Here is a 23,893-nt window from a genome sequence, read left to right on the forward strand (position 1 = left end):
CCCACCTGCCCAGTTCCCTTATTAGGCCGAGACACTTTAACTAAATTATCTGCTTCCCTGACTATTCCTGGGCTACAGCCACACCTCATTGCCACCTTTTCCCCTAGCTCAAAGCCTCCTTCACATCCTCCCCTTGTATCTCCCCACCTTAACCCACAAGTATAAGACACCTCTACTCCCTCCTTAGCGACCGATCATGCACCCCTTACCATCCCATTAAAACCTCATCACTCTTACCCCGCTCAATGCCAATATCCCATCCCACAGCATGCTTTGAAAGGACTAAAGCCTGTTATCACTCGCCTGCTACAGCATGGCCTTTTAAAGCCTATAAACGCTCCTTACCATTCCCCCATTTTACCTGTCCTAAAACCAGACAAGGCTTACAGGTTAGTTCAGAATCTGCGCCTTATCAACCAAATTGTTTTGCCTATCCACCCCGTGGTGCCAAACCTATATACTCTCCTCAATGCCTCCCTCTACAACCCATTATTCTGTTCTGGATCTCAAACGTGCTTTCTTTACTATTCCTTTGTACCCTTCATCCCAGCCTCTCTTCGCTTTCGCTTAGACTGACCCTGACACCCATTAGGCTCAGGAAATTACCTGGGCTGTACTGCCGCAAGGCTTCACAGGCAGCCCCCATTACTTCAGTCAAGCCCAAATTTCATCCTCGTCTGTTACCTATCTTGGCATAATTTTCATAAAAACACACGTGCTCTCCCTGCTGATCGTGTCCGATTAATCTCCCAAACCTCAATCCCTTACAAAACAACAACTCCTTTCCTTCCTAGGCATGGTTAGTGTGGTCAGAATTCTTACACAAGAGCCAGGACCGCACCCTGTAGCCTTTCTGTCCAGACAACTTGACCTTACTGTTTTAGCCTAGCCCTCATGTCTGTGGGCAGCGGCTGCCGCTGCTTTAATACTTTTAGAGGTCCTAAAAATCAAACTATGCTCAACTCACTCTCTACATTTCTCATAACTTCCAAAATCTATTTTCTTCCTCATACCTGATGCATATACTTTCTGCTCCCCGGCTCCTTCAGCTGTACTCACTCTTTGTTAAGTCCCACAATTACCATTGTTCCTGGCCCAGACTTCAATCCGGCCTCCCACATTATTCCTGATACCACACCTGACCCCCATGACTGTATCTCTCTGATCCACCTGACATTCACCCCATTTCCCCATATTTCCTTCTTTCCTGTTCCTCCCCCGATCACGCTTGATTTATTGATGGCAGTTCCACCAGGCCTAATCGCCACACACCAGCAAAGGCAGGCTATGCTATAGTACAAGCCACTAGCCTGCCTCTTAGAATCTCTCCTCATTTTCTTTCCATTGTGGAAATCTATCATCAAGGAAATAACTTCTCAGTGTTCCGTCTGCTATTCTACTACTCCTCAGGGATTATTCAGGCCCCCTCCCTTCCCTACACATTAAGCTCGAGGATTTGCCCCCACCCAGGACTGGCAAATTAGCTTTACTCAACATGCCCCGAGTCAGATAACTAAAATACCTCTTAGTCTAGGTAGACACTTTCACTGGATAGGTACAGGCCTTTCCTACAGGGTCTGAGAAGGCCACCGCAGTCATTTCTTCCCTTCTGTCAGACATAATTCCTCAGTTTAGCCTTCCCACCTCTATACAGTCTGATAACAGACCAGCCTTTATTAGTCAAATCAGCCAAGCAGTTTTTCAGGCTCTTAGTATTCAAGGAAACCTTTATGTCCCTTACGGTCCTCCGTCTTCAGGAAAAGTAGAACGGACTAAAGGTCTTTTAAAAACACACCTCACCAAGCTCAGCCACCAGCTTAAAAAGGACTGGACAATACTTTTACCACTTTTCCTTCTCAGAAGTCAGACCTGTGCTCAGAATGCTACAGGGTACAGCCCATTTGAGCTCCTGTATAGACGCTCCTTTTTATTAGGCCCCAGTCTCATTCCAGACACCAGACCAACTTAGACTGTGCCCCAAAAAACTTGTCATCCCTACTATCTTCTGTCTAGTCATACTCCTATTCACCGTTCTCAACTACTCATACATGCCCTGCTCTTGTTTACACTGCCGGTTTACACTGTTTCTCCAAGACATCACAGCTGATATCTCCTGGTGCTATCCCCAAACTGCCACTCTAAACTCTTGAAGTAAATAAATAATCTTTACTGGCAAGGCTATGCTGAACCTCCTTAGGCACTCTCTAATTAGATGTCCTAGGTCCTCCCAATTCTTAGTCCTTTAATACCTGTTTTCTCCTTCTCTTATTCCGTTTAGTTTTTCAATTCATACAAAACTGTATCCAGGCCATCACCAATAATTCTAAATGACAAATGTTTCTTCTAACAACCCCACAATATCACCCCTTACCACAAAAACTTCCTTCAGCTTAATCTCTCCCACTCTAGGTTCCCACGCCGCCCCTAATCCCGCTCGAAGCAGCCCTGAGAAACATCGTCCATTATCTCTCCACACCACCCCCCAAAATTTTCACCGTCCCAACACTTTACCACTATTTCGTTTTATTTTTCTTATTAATATAAGAAGACAGGAATGTCAGGCCTCTGAGCTCAAGCTAAGCCATCATATCCCCTGTGACCTGCACGTACACATCCAGATGGCCGGTTCCTGCCTTAACTGATGACATTCCACCACGAAAGAAGTGAAAATGACCTGTTCGTGCCTTAACTGATGACATTGTCTTGTGAAATTCCTTCTCCTGGCTCATCCTGGCTCAAAAGCTCCCCCACTGAGTACATTGTGACCCCCACTCCTGCCCGCCAGAGAACAGCCCCCTTTGACTGTAATTTTCCTTTATCTACCCAAATCCTATAAAACAGCCCCACCTTTATCTCCCTTGGCTGACTCTCTTTTCGGACTCAGCCCGCCTGCACCCAGGTGAAATAAACAGCCTTGTTGCTAACACAAAGCCTGTTTGGTGGTCTCTTCACACGGATGTGCATGAAACCAATGAAAAAAAGACCAAAACAACAACCAAAACAGAAACAAAGAACAACAAAAAACAGCTAAGCAAAGCAAACAATGCCACAATTTATAGGTTGGTGCAAAAGTAATTGTGCTTTTTGCCATTAAAAAGAATGCAAAACCGCAATTACTTTTGCACCAACCTAATATATGATTACCAAGCGCTCTAATGGTAAGGATAAATTAAAACCAGCTGATTGTTAATTTTAACTTTAGCCAAGACAAAAGCCCAATTCAGCTACTTACCTAGGAATGGGGCTCAGGCTGAACACTGCTCTCTACCATCTTTGAAGCAGGAAAAAACTCAAACTCGCCTTCCCTGTTGGAAGTGAGCTGAAATTCCAGAAAGGAGTTACCTGCACTCTTCATCATGGAAGCAGGAAAACTTGCCTTCCTTTTTGGGAGCAAGTGAAACTCCAGAAAAGGAGTTATACAGCAAAATAAACTTTAGATCTCAACCAAATTTGGAGAGATCAGGGATTCTCTTGGTCGGGGGTGGGGGTGTCTCCCAGGCCTCAGCCAATTGTCCTACTGGCTTGAGCCATAAAGATAGCTCAAGCTGGTACCAAGCACCAACAGTAGATTTGTCAAAGGTCAGGGGTACCTCCACTCAGAATCCCTTCATGGTTACCAATTTGTGAATCCAAAATATCTGAGACAGGCCTCAGTCAATTTAGAAAGTTTATTTTGCCAAGGTTAAGGATGCACCCATGACACAGCCTCAAGAGGTCCTGGCTACATGGGCCCAAGGTGGTCGGAGCACAGCTTGGTTCTACACATTTTAGGGAGACGTGAGACATCAATCAACATGTGTAAGATGTACATTGGTTCCGTCCAGACAGGCAGGACAACTCGAATCAGGGGAGGGGGCTTCCAGATCACAGGTAGATAAGAGACATTTGTTGCATTCTATTGGGTCTCTGATTAGCCTTTCACTGAATATACAATTCACATGGGAGAGGAGGGTGGAGGAATAGTCACTTATGCCTGGTCTGCCTTGGTGAAACGACAGGGCAGAGGAAGCAATCAGATATGCATTTGTCTCACATGAGCCTCAGAGGGATGACTTTGAGCTCTGTCTGTCCTTTGTCCACGAGGAATTTCCTTGTGGGCAAATTGTGAGGGAGGTATGTCTTTTTTTTTTTTTTATCTTTGTAGCTGTCTTATTTAGGAATAAAATGGGAGGCAGGTTTGCTTGACGCAGTTCCCAGCTTGACTTCCCTTTAGCTTAGTGATTTTGGGGTCCCAAGATTTATTTTCCTTTCACAACTCCCATCTGATATATTTAAGGGGGAATTCTTTTGTGCCTACAGCATTGTTAGTGGAATGTGGAGCGACAGCAAGGGATGGGCCTAGCTGGAATTTACCACCAGGGGGCTTGGACTCTTTCTCATGCGTCAACACCAATCACTGCCAATAGGGGGCAGCAACAATTTGCCTACAGCCTTTAGGCTTTGGTTTTAGACTCAAGGAGCTCAGGGTGTGGAATCTCCATTGTTTTTCCTCTGAAACTTGGCTTCTTATCTGCCTGCGGACTCAAATCCTCCTCCTGCCAATACTACAACAGCCACAGAACAAATGCATTGAAACTGAGAGAACTGGTAAGAGGCTAGATCTAGTGTAAATCAGAGAATGGGCCTCATAAAAGGAGCAGTTTGGAGGAACCTAATCCTTCACAGTTTGTCTAGCAATTTCTAGGTTCAATCAATTGAGGGCTTAACTGGTAAACTCAAGTGGAAATTTTTTATTGGCTCCTGGTGATGTCACTCCTGGTGAGTGTGGGAGAACTGGTTTTCTAGGTGTGGGGATTCTTTATTCTCTGAAACACCCACTAGGAAACGCCCTGAGGCCTTTTCACCTTCTGTGGTGTCAGGACCTCTCATGTAACTGGATACAGTGCTTTTCCCAAACAGACTATACACAACAGAAACTCAAAAAATAGAAACGCTAAGTGGGAATAAGGGAAATAAACTACAAGAGTAGTGGTTCTCGACCTTGGCTGCACATGGGAATCACCTGGGAGCTTCAATCCGCAAGGACCAATGCCAGGGACCCCCCTACCCCCTGCCCCCGAGATTTGGATTAACTGGTCTGCATGCAACCAGGGCAGCTGGCGTTTTGAAAGGTCCCCAGGTGGTTCCCATGTACAGCCAAACTGAGAACCATTGTCAGATGTGCAGTCTTTGCTCCTGGGTCAATTAATTCCTCACGCCCACTAACTACTTTAGATGTCTTATGCTTTGAGCACATTTAAAATAAAACCCAAAACTTAATAAAACAAAGTTAGTACACAGAGAAATAGGAACCTGATTAAAATAGAACATGAAGTCAAGTCAGTTTGGTTTTGTTTTAAATCTCCAATTGCCACCATTAATTCTGCTCCCAAAGGTCAATAATGCTAGCCTGCTATTTGCTTTGTTCACTTCTGAATGAAGCACTTGTGTTTGCTGACCTTCAAACACTTCCAGGTTGTCTAAGAGGAAGCCATGTGGCACTTTGACTTTTGTGTGACCTGGCAATTTGTTTACATCAAATCCCTTTTAACCCTCTGCAGTTGACAGTGGAGAATTCAGTATTTTCATATGCTGCCTAACCTCTAGGGTGGAAGGCTTTAAACTTGATTTAGGTCAAGTTGGCAGTGACCCAGGTGAGCCCCCAGGAAACTGCACTTCCACAGCCAAAACGTGGCCATCCACCAACTTAGGCATGACAGTTACAGTTTTGAACCTGCTATTAAGTCCCACAATTCTCTTGGTTAGTTAGAGTAATCAAACCTGTCAAGGGTAGGCAGAACTGGAGGAGTGAAGAATGGTTTTGAGGGTACAGTGGAAAAATCAACTTTGGAGTATGACAAGCCAGCCTCAACACTCAGTCACTCTTACCAGCTGTGAGATCTTAGGTGGGTTTATCACTGGCTGTGAGCTTGACTTGCCTATCTATACTATAAAGGAATAAAAGCCCCTTCAGGTGGTTTTTCTTAAATAAATGGAATAGACCTGTCATGTGCTGGTAAATGTTTAACAACTGGTTCTCAAGGTGGTGGGGGCAGCCCTGATTTGGAGTATTTCCATGGTGTAAATACTGTCACCATGGCAGATCTCAAGACACCAGTGTGACAGCTCTGAATGTGGAATTGGGAAGAGGTATGCGCCATCTGGGATAAACCATCTCCTAGTACCTACCTAGAATGCAGCAGACACTCAGGATGTTATCCCCTGCCCTTCCCCCTCATAGGAACATCTATGCTGACAGAGACCTTTGCCATTATTAAAGCATTTTTACAAACACTATCTCATTACATTCTCAGGTGAGATGGGCAGGGCGGGTCTTATTTCTACTTTTTACAGACAAGAAGCCTCAGGCTCAGAGAGACTGGACAAAATTGCTCAGGGGCACACAGCAAGTAATCTACAAAATGAGCATAGCAGGCAGAGTAGCAGCCCCAAAACATGTCTGCATCCTAATCCCTGGAACCTATGAATATTTGGTTACATGGCAAAAGGGAATTTTGACTGCAGACGGATTTAATATTGCTAGTCAGGTGACCTCCAAGTAGGGAGATCATCCTAGATTATCCGGGTGGGCCTAGTGTAGTGACAAGGGCCCTTAAAAGTGAAGGAGGGCAGCTCAAGAGGAGAGTCAGGGGGAAATGTGACTATGCAGGACTGGTCAGAGAGATGTGACATTGCCAGCTTTGAAGATGGAGGAAGCAAGGAATCTAGAAGGCCTCTAGAAGCTGGAAAGGCAGGGAAGCAGCTTCTCCCCCAGAACCTCCATGAAAAGATGTAGCCTACCAGGTACGTTGATTTTGGCCCAGTGAGACTTCTGACCTCCAGAACTTTAAGATGATCAATTTGTGTTGTTTAAGCTGCTGGATCTGTGGTCCTTTGCTACTACAGGGATAGGAAATGAATTCAACGGGACTGGCAATCAGATCTCCTTATCCCTCAAATCTCAGCTCAAATTTCACCTCTTGAGGGAGCCATGTTTTTCCTGCCTTTTCTAGGCCTCTGGTTTTACCCGAGTTCTGATAATATCTGGCTTTAGGCACTCACCAGATGGTTGTGAATCTTTGCATACTTGCTGGTTTTCTCCCTAATCCCCAAGTGGCAAGAATATTCTTTTCACTTTGCATCACTTTCCACTAGCACAGCTCCTTCCCCAAGACCACAGCATAATAACTGCATTCAGAATGTGTGAGTGTGAAAATAGAGGAATGAATGAATGGGAGCTGACATTAACAATAGTACTGCACCCCAGCACCACCAGGAATCACGATGCTGAGCTGTCACTGTTGCAGAACAATTAAAAGCATCTCCTGCTAGTATCCTGAGCTACCTACCCCCTTCCTGCAGGAAAGACTTCCCGTCTTCCCACTGGCTCACAGAAGTGGCCTTTTCCTCCGGAAACCAGCGTGCATCTGTTAGCATCTTTTGTCTTTTGTGGGAAAGGGAGGATTCTGGCTCCAGACTGAAGAGGGACAGGCATGGTGTGTGGGTTCACAGAGCCCCAGACTCCAGACTCTGATGCCAGCATCTTTGTCTCAGCAAAGGTCATAATTGGATTTGGATGTTTAAGGCAGTCACTGATTTACTGTTCTCATTTTTCAAGTGTGAGAAATACTAACTCTGTGCTTTGCTTACTTCTAAAGGAACAAAGGCAGTATGAGCAGCCTTTAAATACTGCCACATAATACACTGAGAGCAGACATGACCACGTGCTACAAAGAGTCAGGGCTACGTAGGAAAGTTCACATCGGCGTGGGAAGTGAAAGTAAGCCACGTCACCGTTTCTGTCACGTGACAGCTGTGGGGTGTGGAGCAACTCACTGAGCCTCTTTCCTGGTGTGTAAGATGGGGATAATGATAGCTCCCATTCACTGACCGCTTCCAAAGTGCCTGACCCTGTTCTAAGCCTTCACTGTCATCCTGATTTTATAGTTAGACAGTTTGTCAGTGTCAGAAGCAGAATTGGCTACATAGTTTGCAAGTCCAGTGCCCTGGTTCAAAAATGATTAAGAATTTCAAGATGGTGGTAGCAGAGCAAAAAACCAAGCCCGGAGCCCTCCTTAGTGTGGCTCTTATGTGACTGCACAGGCTGCACACCCTGGGCAGAATTAGTATACAAATCCTGCAGCCTGACTCCAGAACCTTCCATCTTAACATCTATGCCACAAGAGCTGTCTCCTAAGGTGGCCGTGAGGTTGGAAATGAGACTAAGGCATTCCTGGCAGAGGGCACAGTGTGAATGATCTGGAAATACAGGCGTGGACAGGAAGATGAGGAAGGAATGATAAACTCTCATGGCTAAAGCTTTGGTGAGCTGAAGGAAACAGAAGTGTGCTGGTAGGCAGTACTGGCTGCAAACTGTGCCCTCCCTGAAGGCCAACTATAAAGTGCAAGGCCCTTGTACTTTATAGGCGACTGGTGTTGAGGATCGCTGGAAGGTTTAGAAGCAGGGGGTAGCATGGACGCAGGCAGAGAACTGCCCCTAGGGGGAAGTGTGGAGCAGAGCAGACTGGGGCCTGGGCACCCGCTAGAGGAGGCCGTTACAACCACACTCTAGGGATCTCATAGTGAGAGGCTCAGGGAGTAGAGGAAGGAAACAGGGAAAACTGAAGGTCTTCAAGGTAAGTAGAAATTATAGCTTTGGAATACGATCTGGAAACAGGAAACTGGGGGAAAGGAAAAGCTTCTGATGCCTGCTGGCCTGGCCTTCTGTTTGAGCGCCATCAGGCCCGTATGGAGTATCATGATGTACACAGACTGCCTTTGCACCCATAGAAAACAGGGTACATCTCTTCAGGAAGTAGAAACTCTTTGAGCAAAAGAAATCGATTTAACTTCCTAAAAACAACAGCTGTTACTGGCTATAAACTCAGTCATTTCTCAATTTGGGTTTTTCCCCCAAAATATTCCCTTCCAATTTTCAGAGGCATAATCAGTTCTGTGATTATGTTGCTTGCACATAATTAGATCACACAGTAATAATAATAACTGTAAACTCTGGAGGAAACAGAGTGCAATTAAAACCAGAAAGAAAAAAATCTCCCAAACCTCTCCCAGATTCTTCTCTCAAACTTGGGAGTGGGGCACCTCAAGCCCAGTGAAGGAATCAACATATTTTACCCCAAAATATATTTCTTTGACATATTTTGAGATGGCTGTTCACAGGGCCCGCAAACAGAAGCAGCCCTACAAAACTGTCTCATGTGGCGAAGATTTGCATCTGCAGAGAAAAACTACGTTGATACAGCCAGGCTTTCTCTGAGGCTCTCTCTTGTCCATATCTAGGAAAAACTGAGAGTCTGATACCTTTAAAGGTCTGAAAGAAACATTTACTATCTATTCTGTCTGAGAGCGGCTACCTCTGAGATTTCTCCTATGTAACAAGAACGCCTTTGCCAGCCAGGCCTCCTCTTCTCCCCATGCCATAATCTCTTTGCCAAGATCCAAGCCTCCAGTCTTTCTGTAACCTCAAGGCTTCTGTACCCCACTGCGGGGATTGGTAATCACTCTATGGTTCTCCTCCATGTGCACAATAAATTTGTATGCTTTTTCTCCAATTAATCTGCCTTTTAATTTATTATTATTATAAATTTTTTTTGAGACGGAGTCTTGCTCTGTTGCCCAGGCTGGAGTGCAGTGGTGTGATCTCAGCTCACTGCAACCTCCGCCTCCCAGGTTCAAGCAATTCTCCTGCCTCAGCCTCCCGAGTAGCTGGGATTACAGGTGCACGCCACCAAGCCTGGCTAATTTTTGTATTTTTAGTAGAGACAGGGTTTCACCATGTTGGCCAGGCTGGTCTCAAACTCCTGACCTTGTGATCCGCCTGCCTTGGCCTCCCAAAGTGCTGGGATTACAGGCGTGAGCCACCATGCCCGGCCTATTATATATATTTTAATGCTCTCTCTCAGCAGAGTCAAGAGGATTAGTTATCGGTGTGTTGGACATACTGAGTATAGGGGGTCTGTGGGATATGTAAGAAGAAATGACTACTGGGCTGTTGCATATGTGGTTCTTCATCTCATTTTGTTTTAGAGCCAGAGTCTCACTCTGTCACTTAGACTGGAGTTCAGTGGCGAGGCTTTTTTTTTTTTAGACAGGGTCTTAACTCTGTTGTTTAGGCTGGAGTGCAGTGGCACAATCATAGCTCACTGTAACCTTGAACTCCTGGGCTCAAGCAACCCTCCCACTTCAGCCTCCTGAGTAGCTGAGATGACAGGCACGTACCACCACTCCTGAATTTTTTAAAAAATGTTTTAGGCATGTACCACCACAACTAAAAATTAGGCGTGTGCCACCACACCTAGTATTTAAAAAAATGTTTTCGTAGAGACGGTGATCTCGTTATGTTGCCCAGGCTAGTCTCAAACTCCTGGACCCATGTGATCCTCTGGCCTCAAGCGATCCTCCAGCCTCAGCCTCAGCCTCCCAAAGTGCTCAGATTATACCCAGTGTGCCCAGTCTATTAATCTGCCTTTTTTGAGTTGATTTTTCAGTAAACCTTCAGAGGGCGAAGGGGAGGTTTTCCCTTGGCCCCTACCCTGGATTCAAATCCTAGCTCCCACTTCCCAACAATGTGACTTTGGGCAAGTCAGGTAACCTGGTTCTCTTCTATAATGTGAGGGAACCATTCTAGCACTTAACCTCAATCATACTGCATTACCTTGTTCTGAAGTTTAAATGAGAAATTCTTAGACTAGCCTTCAGCATGTAGTAAAGCAGGCCATAAATGTCAGATATTATCATAATCTCCAGATTTTCTACAGTGATTCTTGAATGACATTTAAGATCAGAAACATCCATGTAATTCTCATATTACTATCATTGTTATGTATTCTTTCTCTCCGAATGAAGAATGAAGGTACCATCCACTGACACCACAGTCACGAGGTTGGGTCAAGCCTTATGACCACCCTAGAAGCCTAGACAGAAGGGTTCAAAGGCTCTTCCTCTCATATGGGCTAGTAATAAACAGGGTCTCTAACAGAATAGCGGAAACCTGAGTTGAGCATGTTCATGAGGGAGGGGAAGCTGACGCCCACATCAGCACTTGTTTTCGAAGAGGAGCTGTCTTGGCCCAGAGCCGTGGCTCACGCCTGTAATCCCAGTATTTTGGGAGGCCAAAGTGGGAGAATTGCTTGAGCCCAAGAGTTCAAGTCTAGCCTGGGCAACATAGTGAGACCGTGTCTCTAGAAAAAATTTAAAAAATTAGACAGGCATGGTGGTGTGTGCCTGTGATCCCAGCTACTCGGGAGGCTGAGGTGGGAAGATTGCTTGAGCCTAGGAGGTCGAGGCTACAGTGAGCTATGATCACACCACTGCACTCCAGCCTGAGCAACAGAGCAAGACCCCGTCTTAAAAAAAAAAAAAAAAAAAAAAAGAGGAGCTCTCCAGATTAATAACAATCTCCCCAGTTTTCATGATTCAGGCGTCAAATCCTGCTGCCCCATATGGTTCTCACCACTCAACGAGTATTATTTACAGAGGGCCGTCGTTGCTATGTCCTGGAGATACAGAGACAAATAGGACCCAGGCCGACCACTGAGGAGATCCAACCTGATGGGGAAAGAAGACAGAGAACACACAAGTGGGGCTAGACACGGTGGCTCACACCTGTAATCCCAGCACTTTGGGAGGCTGAGGCGAGTGGATCACCAGAGATCAGGAGTTCAAGACTGGCATGGCCAACATGGTGAAACCCTGTCGCTACTACAAATACAAAAATTAGCCGAGTATGGTCCTGTAGTCCCAGCTACTGGGGAGGCTGAGGCAAGAGAATCGCTTGAACCCAGGAGGGAGGGGTTGTAGTGAGCCGGGATTGCGCCACTGTACTCCAGCCTGGGCGACAGAGAGAGACTCCATCTCTAAATAAATAAAAATAAAAAGAGAACACACAGGTGGCAGCAATTGGGACAAATGTCACTGCAGAAGACCTTCCAAGGGGGTATTGGGGGGTGAGGACCACATTTTGCCTTAGGGTGACAAAGAAGGTTCACACAGTGGGCCACTTTCCGGGGTGTTGGTGATCTGAATCTTGATGGGGAGGGTGGTTACATGCGCGTACATGGTTGTCTAGCACTCATCGAGGTACATTCAAGATGAATTTTATGTCAATTAAACCTCAGTCAGGTTGATAGTAAAGAGTCTGAAACATCGTGTTAGCACTTAGTGGGCTCTTGGGAATTCTTGCAGAATGAGAACGTGAGGGGTATGGAGGGTGGGAGTACTGGCACTTTCTGCATCCCCAGGAGCTGGCTCCACATTGCTCCTGGCTCTGCATCCTGCTTTTGGGTGGCCACGGGGAGAAGACAGGGCTGAAGCCAGCCTCCACAGCGGAGGGTCCTCTAGCAAGGCCCAGCAGGGCCTCAGGGAGTTCAGAGGGAGGCTTGCTTTTGCTTGCTTGTCTCAACACAGGCCCACCTTGACTAAACACAGGCTTCTTGCTGGGCGGGCCAGCTCTGAGCCTTGCAGGCCACTTTATCACGTTGGTGGCTCCCATCTGTTCTTAGAGTCCACATTTCCACTGGGTTGAGCTCTCAGCCACCTCTGCCTAGGCTGCTCTCTTCTGAAACTTTCTTCTTCCTCTGCCTCCCCTACTTCCCCTCACCCCTTCCTCACCCCTCCCATTCTCTCTCCCCTAGGGCAGAGGACCCAGCTGGAGCAGGGCTGACAGGAGCCCCTGAGAGGAGAACTTAGAGGCCTGAGACCCGTTGAGGGTGTGTGTGTGTGTGTGTGTGTGTGTGTGTGTCTATGTTTGGGAGAATTTGGATAAAGAGACAGGCTGGTAGCGGTGGCTCCCACCTGTAATCCCAGCACTTTGGGAAGCCGAGGTGGGCTGATCACTTGAGGTCAGGAGTTCAAAATCAACCATGCCAAATGGTGAAACCCCGTCTCTACTAAAAATACAAAAATTAGCTGGGCGTGGTGGCACGCACCTGTAATCCCAGCTACTTGGGAGGCTGAGGCACGAGAATCACTTGAACCCGGGAGGCAGTAGCTGCAGCGAGCCGAGATCATGCCACTGTACTCCAGCCTGGGCAACAGAGCGAGACTCCGTCTCAAAAATAAAAAATAAAAAATAAAAAAAAAACAGAGACAGCCAAAGTAGCAATGTGCCTGTGAGAGGGCCTAAGTTTTCCCCCTCAGGGTAGTCTTGTCAGATGAAATACAGGATGCCCAGTTAAATTGGAATTTCACAGAAATAAAATAATTTCTATGGTCTCAAATATTGCATGGGACATATTCATACTAAAAAGCTATTTGTTATTTACCTGAAATTCCCATTTAAATTTGAGGGCGTCTTCCATTTTTATTGGCTAAATCTGGCCACCCTCCCTCAGGGTGTGACGGCAGGAAGCGGGAGAGAACACAGATGTCCCCTGTTATCTCCCTGGGCCCTGCGTGGCCCTCTCAGGGAACCACAAGCCAGGGCCAAGCCCATCCAATCCTCCTGCACCAGGAGCAGCAGAAGCCATGCCGCTAATGGCAGTCACCTCGGTGGAAGTAGAGCGGGCCTGTGGCGGCGTGAGGCTTTTCTGCTCTGCTTCTGTGGAAGTGATTATCCAATAACTAGTAGGAATCGGGCAGTTGGCAGACGCCTCCCATGCTATAAAGCCACACAAGGCAGGCAAGTGTGGGCACAGATGAGAGGCTGAGAGCGGAGGTAGGATGTCACCCCTGCCCTCGCCAGCCTCATCTGTTTTCCCAGGCGTCCCCCAACCACTACCCACGTGGATTCTCCCTCGAAGAGCCCCCTTTCAGGGCCCCATTGGCACTTCACTCTTGAGGGAGGCCTAGGAGAAGCTAGTGGAAAGTTACTTCCACATAAACGGTCAGACAGACGGATGATGAAACCACAGGAAACCACAGCTCCTCCCCTGCCGGGGCACCAGGCCAGAAGCCGACCTGCTAGGCTTGGGGACCCCTTCTGGTCTTGCTAGGGGCTCAGAGACCCTGGGGAAGTCCCTTACTGTGTGTCTCATGTCTTCACTTATGGATGGGATGCCAGCTGCCCTCTCATGCCCTCACAGGGCTGTTGGGAGGCAAGGGTGAGCTAGCAGATGCAAAATAATGGCAAAATTAAGAAACCAAGTACCTGTACAAATGTACACCTTTATAGTGGTTCAATTTGGCCACACGTGCTTCTACTTAGAGAAACACCATACATGAATATTCAGGCACATATACATATCACTATATGATCCTACGAGCAACTTCCCTACCTCACTGAAAATATGATTCACTTCACCAAAATGTAATGCTATGGTCACATTCTACAAGGAAAACATCCAAAGCACAGCCACTGTAAGTGAGGATAGTTCTCAACTGGGCCTATGGTGGGCTGGCTGACTACACTTGCAGTCTAGAACGGGGCCTACTGCAGACTGGTCTGCAGTTAGTTTGATCTAGGGTTATGACAGCAGTTGACTTGAAAATAACTTTCCTCCTGCCCCTTTAAGAACACGGGTTCCTTCCCTTGCAGATAAGCAGGAAGTCCCCCTCCCTCTGTCTTGGTGCTTGGTGGTGTGTTTCACTTCCTTTCAAAGGTGTTTTCTTACTAAAGAAACCCTAAGCCCAGGGTCACATTCTGTTTCTTTCACAGGCATACTCAACTGCGTGTTGTTGATTCTGTGACAAGTTTCTTGAGCAAGAAAATACACAGAAAAAATGTTAAATGTATAAAATATGAAAGTAAAACATCAATAATGTTTTAAATATTTAAAATATAAAAGTAATGCATGCTTCTGGTAAAAATGTAAATGGTAGAGGTTTCTCTATTTCCTTTCCCCAGAGGTAAGCTCTTAAAATTCCCTTCCGGAAATGGTCTCTCTACACCTCACTTTTTTATTGCACAGAAGGGATCAGACACTATTTATGAGGCTCTTTATTTTCCACTTAAGAGTATTCTGGCTGGGCGCGGTGGCTCACACCTGTAATCCTAGCACTTTGGGAGGCCGAGGTGGGTGGATCACGAAGTCAGGAGTTGGAGACCAGCCTGGCCAACATGGTGAAACCCCATTTCTACTAAAAATACAAAAAGTAGCTGGTGTGGTGGTGGGTGCCTCTAATCCCAGCTACTCGGGAGGCTGAGGCAGGAGAATTGTTTGAACCCAGGAGGCAGAGGTTGCAGTGAGCCAAGATCGCGCCACTGCACTCCAGCCTGGGTGACAGAGCGAGACTCTGTCTCGGGGGAAAAAAAAAAAGAGTATTCTTTGGACATCCTTCCACAGCATATCATGAATAAATCTGCCTCAATCTTTTTTTAACAGCTGCATAGTTTTCCATTGTTTGGGTACTCTATCATGTATTTAATTAATCTCCCAATTAATATACACTTAGGTTGATTGTAGCTTTTACTCTTATCTACAATGCTATGGGGGAAAGATCTAGATGTTTGTGCATGTGTATGTATATGTATATGTAAGTGTGTTAGTATGGCTATAGAATGAGAGTCCTGTCACTGGACTTAAACTGGAAATGCTGGGTTCAACTGGAAATGCTGTTTTAATTGTGACAGCCACCGGTGCCTCTGAAAAGTCCCTACGAATTGACCCTTCCAACAACAGCATATAAGAGCTTTCACTTTTCTTTCCCTGCATTCTGGCCAACTGGAGCCACTACTCAACCTTTTCATTTTTGTCAGTCTGAAATGAGCAGAGAGGTCCTCATTGTTTGATTTGCATTTGAAAGCCTACCATACACGGGCATCTTCTCATGTTGTTCTTAGCTCAGTGAGGAGGGCCTTAGAGACCAGACTTTGGAACCAGATAGAGCTGGATACCGTCCCAGCTCAGCCACTTGCCAACTGTGATCTCTGGAGCCTCGGTTTATCCATCTGTAAAATGAGCATCCTTAGACTAAATTCATGGGATTTACTGAGAAGGTGCAACAAAGCAACAAAAAATGTTTATCACTACAAATGTTAGTGTGTTTCTCATCCAAACAAACAAAAAAACATATATATATATATATATATATATATACATATTTACATATAGTCATGCATCGCTTAACAATGGGGATACGTTCTAGGCGATTTCCTCATTGTGCGAAGATCACAGAGTGTACTTACACAAACCTAGATGGTACAGCCTACTACATACCTAGGTTATATGGTACAGCCCATTGTTCCTAGCTTGCAAACCTGTACAGCATGTCACTGCACTAAATACTGTAGGCAACTGTAACACAATGCTAAGTATTTGTGTATCTAAAATTAGAAAAGGTACAGTAAAAAATACAGTATTATTTTATGGGATCACTGAAATGTCATCACACAGTACATGACTGTGTGTGTGTGTATATATATATATATATATACACATACATATATGCACATACACACAGTCTTATACTGTATATGTATACAGATGTGTGTATATATATAGTCTTATACCATATATGTATATAGCGTATGTGTGTGTGTGTGTGTGTGTATATATATATATATATATACAGTGTGTGTATATATATATATATATATACACACACACACACACACACACACACACACACATACACAGGGATATATATATACTTTTTTGACCTAGTCAATGGCCAATTTAACCGTCTCTACAGCATCTGAGATCTCACCTTCTCCTCACTGCTGCCCCTGCTTGAGGGTAGAAAATGTAAATAAAATGCTGAAAAATAAAACTTAAAACTGTCACATTCAATGGTTGGTCTTACTAGCTGAGCAACCTTGGCCATGGTACTTCTCGGAGCTCCAGTTTCTTTCTCTGTAAAATGGGGTGTTCACTCTACCTACCCCACAATGTCACTGGGAGAATGAAGAGGCGCTTAAGGCAGTGCCTGGCTCTGGCAAGCACTCGATAAATGATCCTTGTGGTTGTTCTTCTTGGCCAGGGATCCCCTTAAGTGCTCAGGCCACTTTCCCCAGTGGGATAGGAGGAAAATAGTCACCTCAACTAACAGAGGGTAATCTATCAAACACCTACTGGGCTAGTTGAAGACCCTTTGGGCCTATAAACACTGCAGTAGGGTGTGGTGGAAGGGCATCTCCAACTCTCTGGTCCAGTCTTTGAGACACAATTAGATCCTGCCATGCTCAGCAAGCAGGTTGAGCCATCAGACCCTGTTTTTTTTGTTTGTTGTTTTGTTTTGTTTTGTTTTTTCTTTCTTTCTCTCTCTCTTTCTCTCTTTCCTTCCTTTCTTTCTTTCGACGGGGTCTTGCTCTGTGACCCAGGCTGGAGTGCAGTGGTGCCAAGGCTACAGCTCACTGCAGCCTTGACCTCACGTGCTCAAGCCACCCTTCCATCTCAGCCTGCCAAGTAGCTGGGACTACAGGCATGTACTACAATGCCTAGCTAATTTTTCTATTTTTTGTAGAGACAGGGTTTTGCCGTGTTGCCCAGGCTGGTCTCGAACTCCTGGGCTCAAGCGATCCTCCCACCTCAGCCTCCCAAAGTGCTGGGATTACAGGCATGAACCACCTCGCCCGGCCTCACTCCTCCATTGTCTTTTAATCTCCTTTGTAGAGGTCATCAACAACCCCATTCGTTAGCGTTTAACAAGAAAAGAACTTCTTGGGGTGGGGCGGGGAGTGGGAAGTTATTGTGAATCTCCTTTGTGAGAAACAAATGCCATTTTCTGAATGATTTTTGCCACGTTTTATTTTTTAAAAATTTTCTCCTTTGGAAGCAGGGTGCACTGTGTATACTGTCATGTTGCTCAGATGACAGGTAAGTTACCCGTGAGTAGGCATAAGTGCTGATGTCGTTTCTGGGTCCTTCAATACCACACAGAATCTCCTTGGGTTTATGCATGGTGAGGAGAGTAATTCGCCCTCATCAAGGCTATGATTTATCCCGCCATAACTGAGCTAAGGTTTTTGTGAAGACAGCTGAAATATCCACACCATGCAGGGAACAGAGACACATTAAACAACAACACATCTCAAAAAATACTACTTTTGCAGTGGAGAAACCTGAGTGGTAACACATTAATCAATTGATCCAAGTTAACATCCCAATAACGGAACATACCAACTTCATGGGCCCCCGGCTGTGAGACACCGAGAAGGTCACAGTGTCCCTCGCTCGAGTAGCATTCCTGCCAAAAAGGCAAGCCCAAATCTAATCCCGAGGAAACATCAGTCAAACTTAAATCAAGGGAAATTCCACAAAATAAGCGGCCAGTCTTCTTCAAAAATAGTGTCATGGAATACAGACAGGCTGAGAAAGTTCTAAATTAAAAGATACTAGTGGGGCATATCAATTACATGCCATGCATGATCCTGGATTGGAACATGGACCGGAAAAAGCTGTTATAAGAATGTTATTGGGCTAATAGACAAAATTTGAATAAGGTCTGCACATCAGATAATAGTCTTGTAGCAATGTGACATTTCCTGGTACTGACAATTGTACTGTGGCTATGTTGGAGAATGACCTTATTAGAAAATGCATACCTAGTATTTGTGGGTAAAAAGGTGTCATATTCACAACTTATTCTCACATGGTCTAGAAAAAATAAGTAAGTAGGTAGACAGAAAGAACGATAGGTAGATAGAAAAATAGATATAGATAGATAGATAGATAGTAAAATATTGATAAAGCAAGTATGGCCAATTATTAACAACTGGTGAATCTGGGTTAAGGGTATACCACAGTTCTTTACTGTCTTTTTGCAGCTTTTCTGTAAGTTTGAAATTATTCTAAAGTGAAAAATTTTAAACATTCTAGTAACTGCAACCATGGTGCATGTTACAAACTAAATAATAAATAAGTCCTAATTAATAAAGGAAGCGAAACATTAACGTTGCAGAAATGTAAAACCAAAAACAAATGACAAAGCACTCTCCCTCTGCTGGCAGTTTTAGCATTCTTGTACACAGAATGATCATTGATTTTGTTTTGTTTTGTTTTTCAAGTTCCTCTTAGTACAAAATTTAAATCTCTTTCATTTAACATGCCTGCACAAAGTACTCAGTAGGTGCCAAGCAATGACTCACAACAAAGCCAGTTCCCAATGGCTCTTGTTCTCATTGGAAGTGAAGGCCATATTCTATATGTATGTATCCTCTCTGCCTTCAGTAGAGAAGGCAGGAACACTGGGAGGAAGGAAGAAGGTAAAAAAATCTTTATTAAAATGCCTCCTGACATGTCCACTTGGACTCTACTAGGCAAATCAAATGTCCTACATTCCATCCGAGCTCCTGATCATCTATCCTAAAACCTGAGCACACTGCGCCTCCCCATCCCCTGCCCAGTTAAGTTTCTCCACTTCAGTGGATGGCCACTCCATCCTTCCAGTTGCTCAGACCAAAATCTTTGCATCAGCCTGGACTCCTCACTTTCTCTCCCCCTCCATACCCTGTAGATCAGCAAATCCTATTGGCTCTACCTTCAAAATACATCCAGCATCTGTCCACTCATCACCACTCCACTTTCCCATCCTGGTCTGTCCTCCACCTGAATTGTTGCAATGGCCTGTAAAGCAGCCTCCCTGCTCCTAGTCTAGTCTCAACCCAGGAGCCAGAGTGGCTGTGGTCCCTTTCAAACCTGAATCAGGTCATGGGACTTCTCTGATGGCAAACTGCCAGTGGCTTCCTAACTCATGCAAAAAAAGGAAGGCCAAAGTTCTTAAAATGGCCTGGGAAGCTCCTCATGTTTGGCACCATCCATCCCACACTCCCATAAGGGTGATTTGACCTATTTGGCTTCACGTTGTACGACTCCAGGGAACACTGCTGCTCTCCTGCTTCAGCCATGCTGGCTTTCGTGTGTGGTCATGGTCCCTGCTCAGGGCCTTGGAGTTGGCTGTGACCTCTCCCTGGAGCACCTCCCCCAGGCATCTGCGTGGCTCACTTCCTCTTTCCCTTGAAGTCTTGCCTCTGATGGCTTACCTGGACCATCCCTCCTACACACTCCCTGTTCATTTCCCTTACCCTACTCTCACTTTCCATGGTCATCTTCTAGTATACTATGCACACTACTTATTTTTAAAAATATGTATTCTCGATTCCACACAAAAGTCCCTCTCCCTCTCCCTCTCCCTTTCCCTCTCCCCTCTTTCCACGGTCTCCCTCTCCCTCTCTTTCCACGGTCTCCCTCTCCCTCTCTTTGTCTCCCTCTCCCTCTCTTTCCACGGTCTCCCTCTGATGCCAAGCCGAAGCTGGACTCTACTGCTGCCATCTCGGCTCACTGCAACCTCCCTGCCTGATTCTCCTGCCTCAGCCTGCCGAGTGCCTGCGATTACAGGCGCGCGCCCCCACGCCTGACTGGTTTTCCTACTTTTTTGGTGGAGACGGGGTTTCGCTGTGTTGGCCAGGCTGGTCTCCAGCTCCTAACCGCGAGTGATCCGCCAGCCTCGGCCTCCCGAGGTGCCGGGTTTGCAGACGGAGTCTGGTTCACTCAGTGCTCAATGGTGCCCAGGCTGGAGTGCAGTGGCGTGATCGCGGCTCGCTACAACCTCCACCTCCCAGCCGCCTGCCTTGGCCTCCCAAAGTGCCGAGATTGCAGCCTCTGCCCGGCCGCCACCCCATCTGGGAAGTGAAGTGAGGAGCGTCTCTGCCCGGCCGCCCATCGTCTGGGACGTGAGGAGCCCCTCTGCCTGGCTGCCCAGTCTGGAAAGTGAGGAGCGTCTCTGCCCGGCCGCCATCCCATCTAGGAAGTGAGGAGCGCCTCTTCCCGGCCGCCATCCCATCTAGGAAGTGAGGAGCGTCTCTGCCGGGCCGCCCATCGTCTGAGATGTGGGGAGCACCTCTGCCCCGCCGCCCCGTCTGGGATGTGAGGAGCGCCTCTGCCCGGCCGCGACCCCGTCTGGGAGATGAGGAGCGTCTCTGCCCGGCTGCCCCATCTGGGAAGCGAGGAGACCCTCCGCCTGGCAACCGCCCCGTCTGGGAAGTGAGGAGCATCTCCGCCCGGCAGCCACCCCATCCGGGAGGGAGGTGGGGGTCAGCCCCCACCAGGCCAGCCGCCCCGTCCGGGAGGGAGGTGGGGGGGGTCAGCCCCCCGCCCGGCCAGCCGCCCCGTCCGGGAGGGAGGTGGGGGGGTCAGCCCCCCGCCCGGCCAGCCGCCCCGTCCGGGAGGTGAGGGGTGCCTCTTCCCAGCCGCCCCTACTGGGAAGGGAGGAGCCCCTCTGCCTGGCCAGCCGCCCCATCCGGGAGGGAGGTGGGGGGGTCAGCCCCCTGCCCGGCCAGCCGCCCCGTCCGGGAGGGAGGTGGGGGGGTCAGCCCCCCACCCGGCCAGCCTTCCCGTCCGGGAGGGAGGTGGGGGTTCAGCCCCCCGCCCGGCCAGCCGCCCCGTCCGGGAGGTGAGGGGCGCCTCTGCCCGGCCGCCCCTACTGGGATGTGAGGAGCCCCTCTGCCCGGCCACCACCCCGTCTGGGAGGTGTACCCAACAGCTCATTGAGAACGGGCCGGGATGACAATGGCGGTTTTGTGGAATAGAAACGGGGCAAAGGTGGGGAAAAGATTGAGAAATCGGATGGTTGCCGTGTCTGTGTAGAAAGAAGTAGACATGGGAGACTTTTCATTTTGTTCTGTACTAAGAAAAATTCTTCTGCCTTGGGATCCTGCTAATCGGTGACCTTACCCCCAACCCTGTACTCTCTGAAACATGTGCTGTGTCCACTCAGAGTTGAATGGATTAAGGGCGGTGCAAGATGTGCTTTGTTAAACAGATGCTTGAAGGCAGCATGCTCGTTAAGAATCATCACCACTCCCTAATCTCAAGTACCCAGGGACACAAACACTGCGGAAGGCCGCAGGGTCCTCTGCCTAGGAAAACCAGAGACCTTTGTTCACTTGTTTATCTGCTGACCTTCCCTCCACTATTGTCCTATGACCCTGCCAAATCCCCCTCTGCGAGAAACACCCAAGAATGATCAATAAAAAAAAATAATAAAAAATAAAAAATAAAAAAAAAAAATATGTATTCTCTCTTTCTGGCCCGCTAGAAAGTAAACTCCTTAAAGGCAGAAGTTTTGTTTATTGAGATATCCTTGGCTCCTACAACAATGCTTGCCACACAGTAGTAACTCAATAAAAATTGGTTGAACAAATAAAGACTATTTCAAAAATTAAGCATGGGAGATCAATGTAGTTGCATATTAAAATGATTTCTATAAAAATAAACATGATCAGTCGAGATCTTTTTTTTTTTTTTTTTTTTGAGACGGAGTTTCGCTCCTGTGTCCCAGGCTAGAGTGCAATGGTACAATCTCGGCTCACTGCAACCTCCGCCTCCCGGGTTCAAGCGATTCTCTCCTCCCTCAGCCTCCCAGTAGCTGGGATTGCAGGCGCCTGCTACCACACCCGGCTAATTTTTGTATTTTTAGTAGAGATGCGGGTTTCGCCATGTTGGCCAGGCTGGTCTCGAACTCCTGACCTGAGGTGATCCACCGCCTCGGCCTCCCAAAGTGCTGGGATTACAGGCATGAGCCACCGCGCCCGGCCCAGTCAAGATTTTTTAACAAAATTTTTAAATTATGTCTTTCAACAAAGGTGTTTATTCTGGGTTTTGGAGTTTGCATTCAAAATTTTGCATTCAAATCTGAATTTAGCTTTGTGATTCCTGAGTTTCAGTTTCCTTCCAGCAAAACCAAAAATAGAAGGACTTGGCTTGAAGGGTTTTAACTGAGGATTAAATTAGATGATACACCTGGCACTGGTTTAATAAATGAGAGTACAAGCTTTTTCTCATTTTGTCATTCTGTAAATCTACCCAGAGTTAAGCCAAACTTCACAAGTTAAATTCTCTACAAGACAGCCCTCACTTCAGACACCAGTCCCCAGGGTCACTCACTCTTCCAACCAACTGGCTAAAATTGAGGGATTCCCGTGACCACCCTCTGGCTCAATAATTTGCTAGAACGATTCACAGAACTCAGGGAAGTGCTATACTTACAGTTTTATTACAGTAAAAGGATACAGCCCAAAGAAGAAATGCGCAGGGCAACATCTGTCAGGGTTCCAAGTGCAATGCTTCTGTCATCCTTAAGGACGTGTTATCCTCCCAGCCTGAAAGTGTGACAATACTCAAGGAGTAATGTCAGTCAAGGAGGCTCACTTGAGCTTTGGTGTACTAAAATGTTTACTGAGGCCTACTGAGGCCTCATACAGGCATGATTGATAGAACCACTGGTCACATGGTTCATTCTCCAGCTCCCCTTTTCCCCTCCAGAGGTTGGGCTTATATCTCATGGCTTAAAGCCCCAACCCTCTAATCACATATTTGATCTTTCCGGCCTGGCCAGCCCCTATTCTGAATCGTTTCATTAGCATAAACTGTCCAGTGTGAGCCACCTCATTATCATAAACAATCAAGCCTGGTCCAAGGGGCCCACCATGAATAACAAAGACACTCCAATCACTCAGGAAATTCTAAGGGTTTAGAAGCTACATCTCAGGAACTAGAGATAATGGCCAGCCAAATTCTTCATTACACAAAACCAAACACAGTGTTCTAGCTAAAAAGTAAGGCATTTATGCAAACATAACCACAGAGTACAAAATATAAAATTCAGACATTAAAATACCTCCTCCTGGCCCAAACTAAAATTGTGTTCCTGTCTGTGTATACATAGAAAAATAGAAAAATTTAAGTGCAAATGTATGCTCACTCTTTGTGCCAAGGACCTTAAGTAGTAAAAAAAAAAAAAAAAAAAAAAAGACTAGGAAGCCATTTTCATGAATGAGTAAATTTAGGTCTTTAGAAGCCACGTGTGTAATTTCAAATCTGAGAAATGGATGCTTGTATGACAAAAACTAACAATATACACCACCATCACCACCACTGCCACTACCAAAACAAAATCAGGTCTATTATTGTTTGGTTAGCACTGGGAACAATTCCAGTATTGGTGAACCATCCTATGTTTAGGTAAAATACACATTCTGAGTTGACTGAGTTTCATATATGACTGAATCTGAATTTGG

The 23,893-nt window shown here is 46.4% G+C and overlaps 1 long non-coding RNA gene across 1 annotated transcript in view, besides 16 other annotated features; it reads right to left on the reverse strand.

Annotated features, from left to right (window-relative positions):
• Positions 1 to 729, reverse strand: part of TLR8-AS1 (TLR8 antisense RNA 1) — a 40,484-nt gene extending 39,755 nt beyond the window's left edge. Inside the window, exon 1 of the long non-coding RNA NR_030727.1 lies at positions 607 to 729. This is a non-coding gene — a long non-coding RNA (TLR8 antisense RNA 1). The remainder of the gene's footprint in view (positions 1 to 606) is intronic.
• Positions 4,194 to 4,637: a transcriptional cis regulatory region, noted in NCBI's record as "candidate enhancer chrX.229 targeted for multiplex CRISPR interference". NCBI's record gives its function as "positively regulates TMSB4X gene expression with high confidence in K562 cells {active_cell/tissue: K562}" and the evidence as "EXISTENCE:mutant phenotype evidence [ECO:0000015][PMID:30612741]".
• Positions 4,194 to 4,641: a biological region, named in NCBI's record as "CRISPRi-validated cis-regulatory element chrX.229". NCBI's record gives its function as "regulatory_interactions: TMSB4X".
• Positions 4,512 to 4,641: an enhancer, noted in NCBI's record as "active region_29416". NCBI's record gives its function as "activates an Ori minimal core promoter by ATAC-STARR-seq in GM12878 lymphoblastoid cells {active_cell/tissue: GM12878}" and the evidence as "EXISTENCE:reporter gene assay evidence [ECO:0000049][PMID:35858748]".
• Positions 7,599 to 8,011: a transcriptional cis regulatory region, noted in NCBI's record as "candidate enhancer chrX.230 targeted for multiplex CRISPR interference". NCBI's record gives its function as "positively regulates TMSB4X gene expression in K562 cells {active_cell/tissue: K562}" and the evidence as "EXISTENCE:mutant phenotype evidence [ECO:0000015][PMID:30612741]".
• Positions 7,639 to 7,933: an enhancer, noted in NCBI's record as "tiled region #4636; HepG2 Activating non-DNase unmatched - State 23:Low, and K562 Activating DNase matched - State 5:Enh". NCBI's record gives its function as "activates a minimal TATA promoter and a strong SV40 promoter by Sharpr-MPRA in HepG2 and K562 cells {active_cell/tissue: HepG2 | K562}" and the evidence as "EXISTENCE:reporter gene assay evidence [ECO:0000049][PMID:27701403]".
• Positions 8,281 to 8,710: a transcriptional cis regulatory region, noted in NCBI's record as "candidate enhancer chrX.231 targeted for multiplex CRISPR interference". NCBI's record gives its function as "positively regulates TMSB4X gene expression with high confidence in K562 cells {active_cell/tissue: K562}" and the evidence as "EXISTENCE:mutant phenotype evidence [ECO:0000015][PMID:30612741]".
• Positions 8,281 to 8,793: a biological region, named in NCBI's record as "CRISPRi-validated cis-regulatory element chrX.231". NCBI's record gives its function as "regulatory_interactions: TMSB4X".
• Positions 8,339 to 8,633: an enhancer, noted in NCBI's record as "tiled region #3540; K562 Activating DNase unmatched - State 5:Enh". NCBI's record gives its function as "activates a minimal TATA promoter and a strong SV40 promoter by Sharpr-MPRA in K562 cells {active_cell/tissue: K562}" and the evidence as "EXISTENCE:reporter gene assay evidence [ECO:0000049][PMID:27701403]".
• Positions 8,564 to 8,793: an enhancer, noted in NCBI's record as "active region_29417". NCBI's record gives its function as "activates an Ori minimal core promoter by ATAC-STARR-seq in GM12878 lymphoblastoid cells {active_cell/tissue: GM12878}" and the evidence as "EXISTENCE:reporter gene assay evidence [ECO:0000049][PMID:35858748]".
• Positions 13,195 to 14,058: a transcriptional cis regulatory region, noted in NCBI's record as "candidate enhancer chrX.232 targeted for multiplex CRISPR interference". NCBI's record gives its function as "positively regulates TMSB4X gene expression with high confidence in K562 cells {active_cell/tissue: K562}" and the evidence as "EXISTENCE:mutant phenotype evidence [ECO:0000015][PMID:30612741]".
• Positions 13,353 to 13,432: an enhancer, noted in NCBI's record as "active region_29418". NCBI's record gives its function as "activates an Ori minimal core promoter by ATAC-STARR-seq in GM12878 lymphoblastoid cells {active_cell/tissue: GM12878}" and the evidence as "EXISTENCE:reporter gene assay evidence [ECO:0000049][PMID:35858748]".
• Positions 14,123 to 14,352: an enhancer, noted in NCBI's record as "active region_29419". NCBI's record gives its function as "activates an Ori minimal core promoter by ATAC-STARR-seq in GM12878 lymphoblastoid cells {active_cell/tissue: GM12878}" and the evidence as "EXISTENCE:reporter gene assay evidence [ECO:0000049][PMID:35858748]".
• Positions 14,123 to 14,693: a biological region, named in NCBI's record as "CRISPRi-validated cis-regulatory element chrX.233". NCBI's record gives its function as "regulatory_interactions: TMSB4X".
• Positions 14,227 to 14,693: a transcriptional cis regulatory region, noted in NCBI's record as "candidate enhancer chrX.233 targeted for multiplex CRISPR interference". NCBI's record gives its function as "positively regulates TMSB4X gene expression with high confidence in K562 cells {active_cell/tissue: K562}" and the evidence as "EXISTENCE:mutant phenotype evidence [ECO:0000015][PMID:30612741]".
• Positions 19,659 to 19,911: a transcriptional cis regulatory region, noted in NCBI's record as "candidate enhancer chrX.234 targeted for multiplex CRISPR interference". NCBI's record gives its function as "positively regulates TMSB4X gene expression in K562 cells {active_cell/tissue: K562}" and the evidence as "EXISTENCE:mutant phenotype evidence [ECO:0000015][PMID:30612741]".
• Positions 21,337 to 21,998: an enhancer, noted in NCBI's record as "NANOG-H3K27ac hESC enhancer chrX:12982027-12982688 (GRCh37/hg19 assembly coordinates)". NCBI's record gives its function as "activates a minimal SCP1, AML or CMV promoter by ChIP-STARR-seq in naive H9 embryonic stem cells {active_cell/tissue: H9 hESC(naive)}" and the evidence as "EXISTENCE:reporter gene assay evidence [ECO:0000049][PMID:30033119]".

Source organism: Homo sapiens, chromosome X, assembly GCF_000001405.40.
Source record: "Homo sapiens chromosome X, GRCh38.p14 Primary Assembly".
In the NCBI taxonomy this organism is placed as follows: domain Eukaryota; kingdom Metazoa; phylum Chordata; class Mammalia; order Primates; family Hominidae; genus Homo; species Homo sapiens.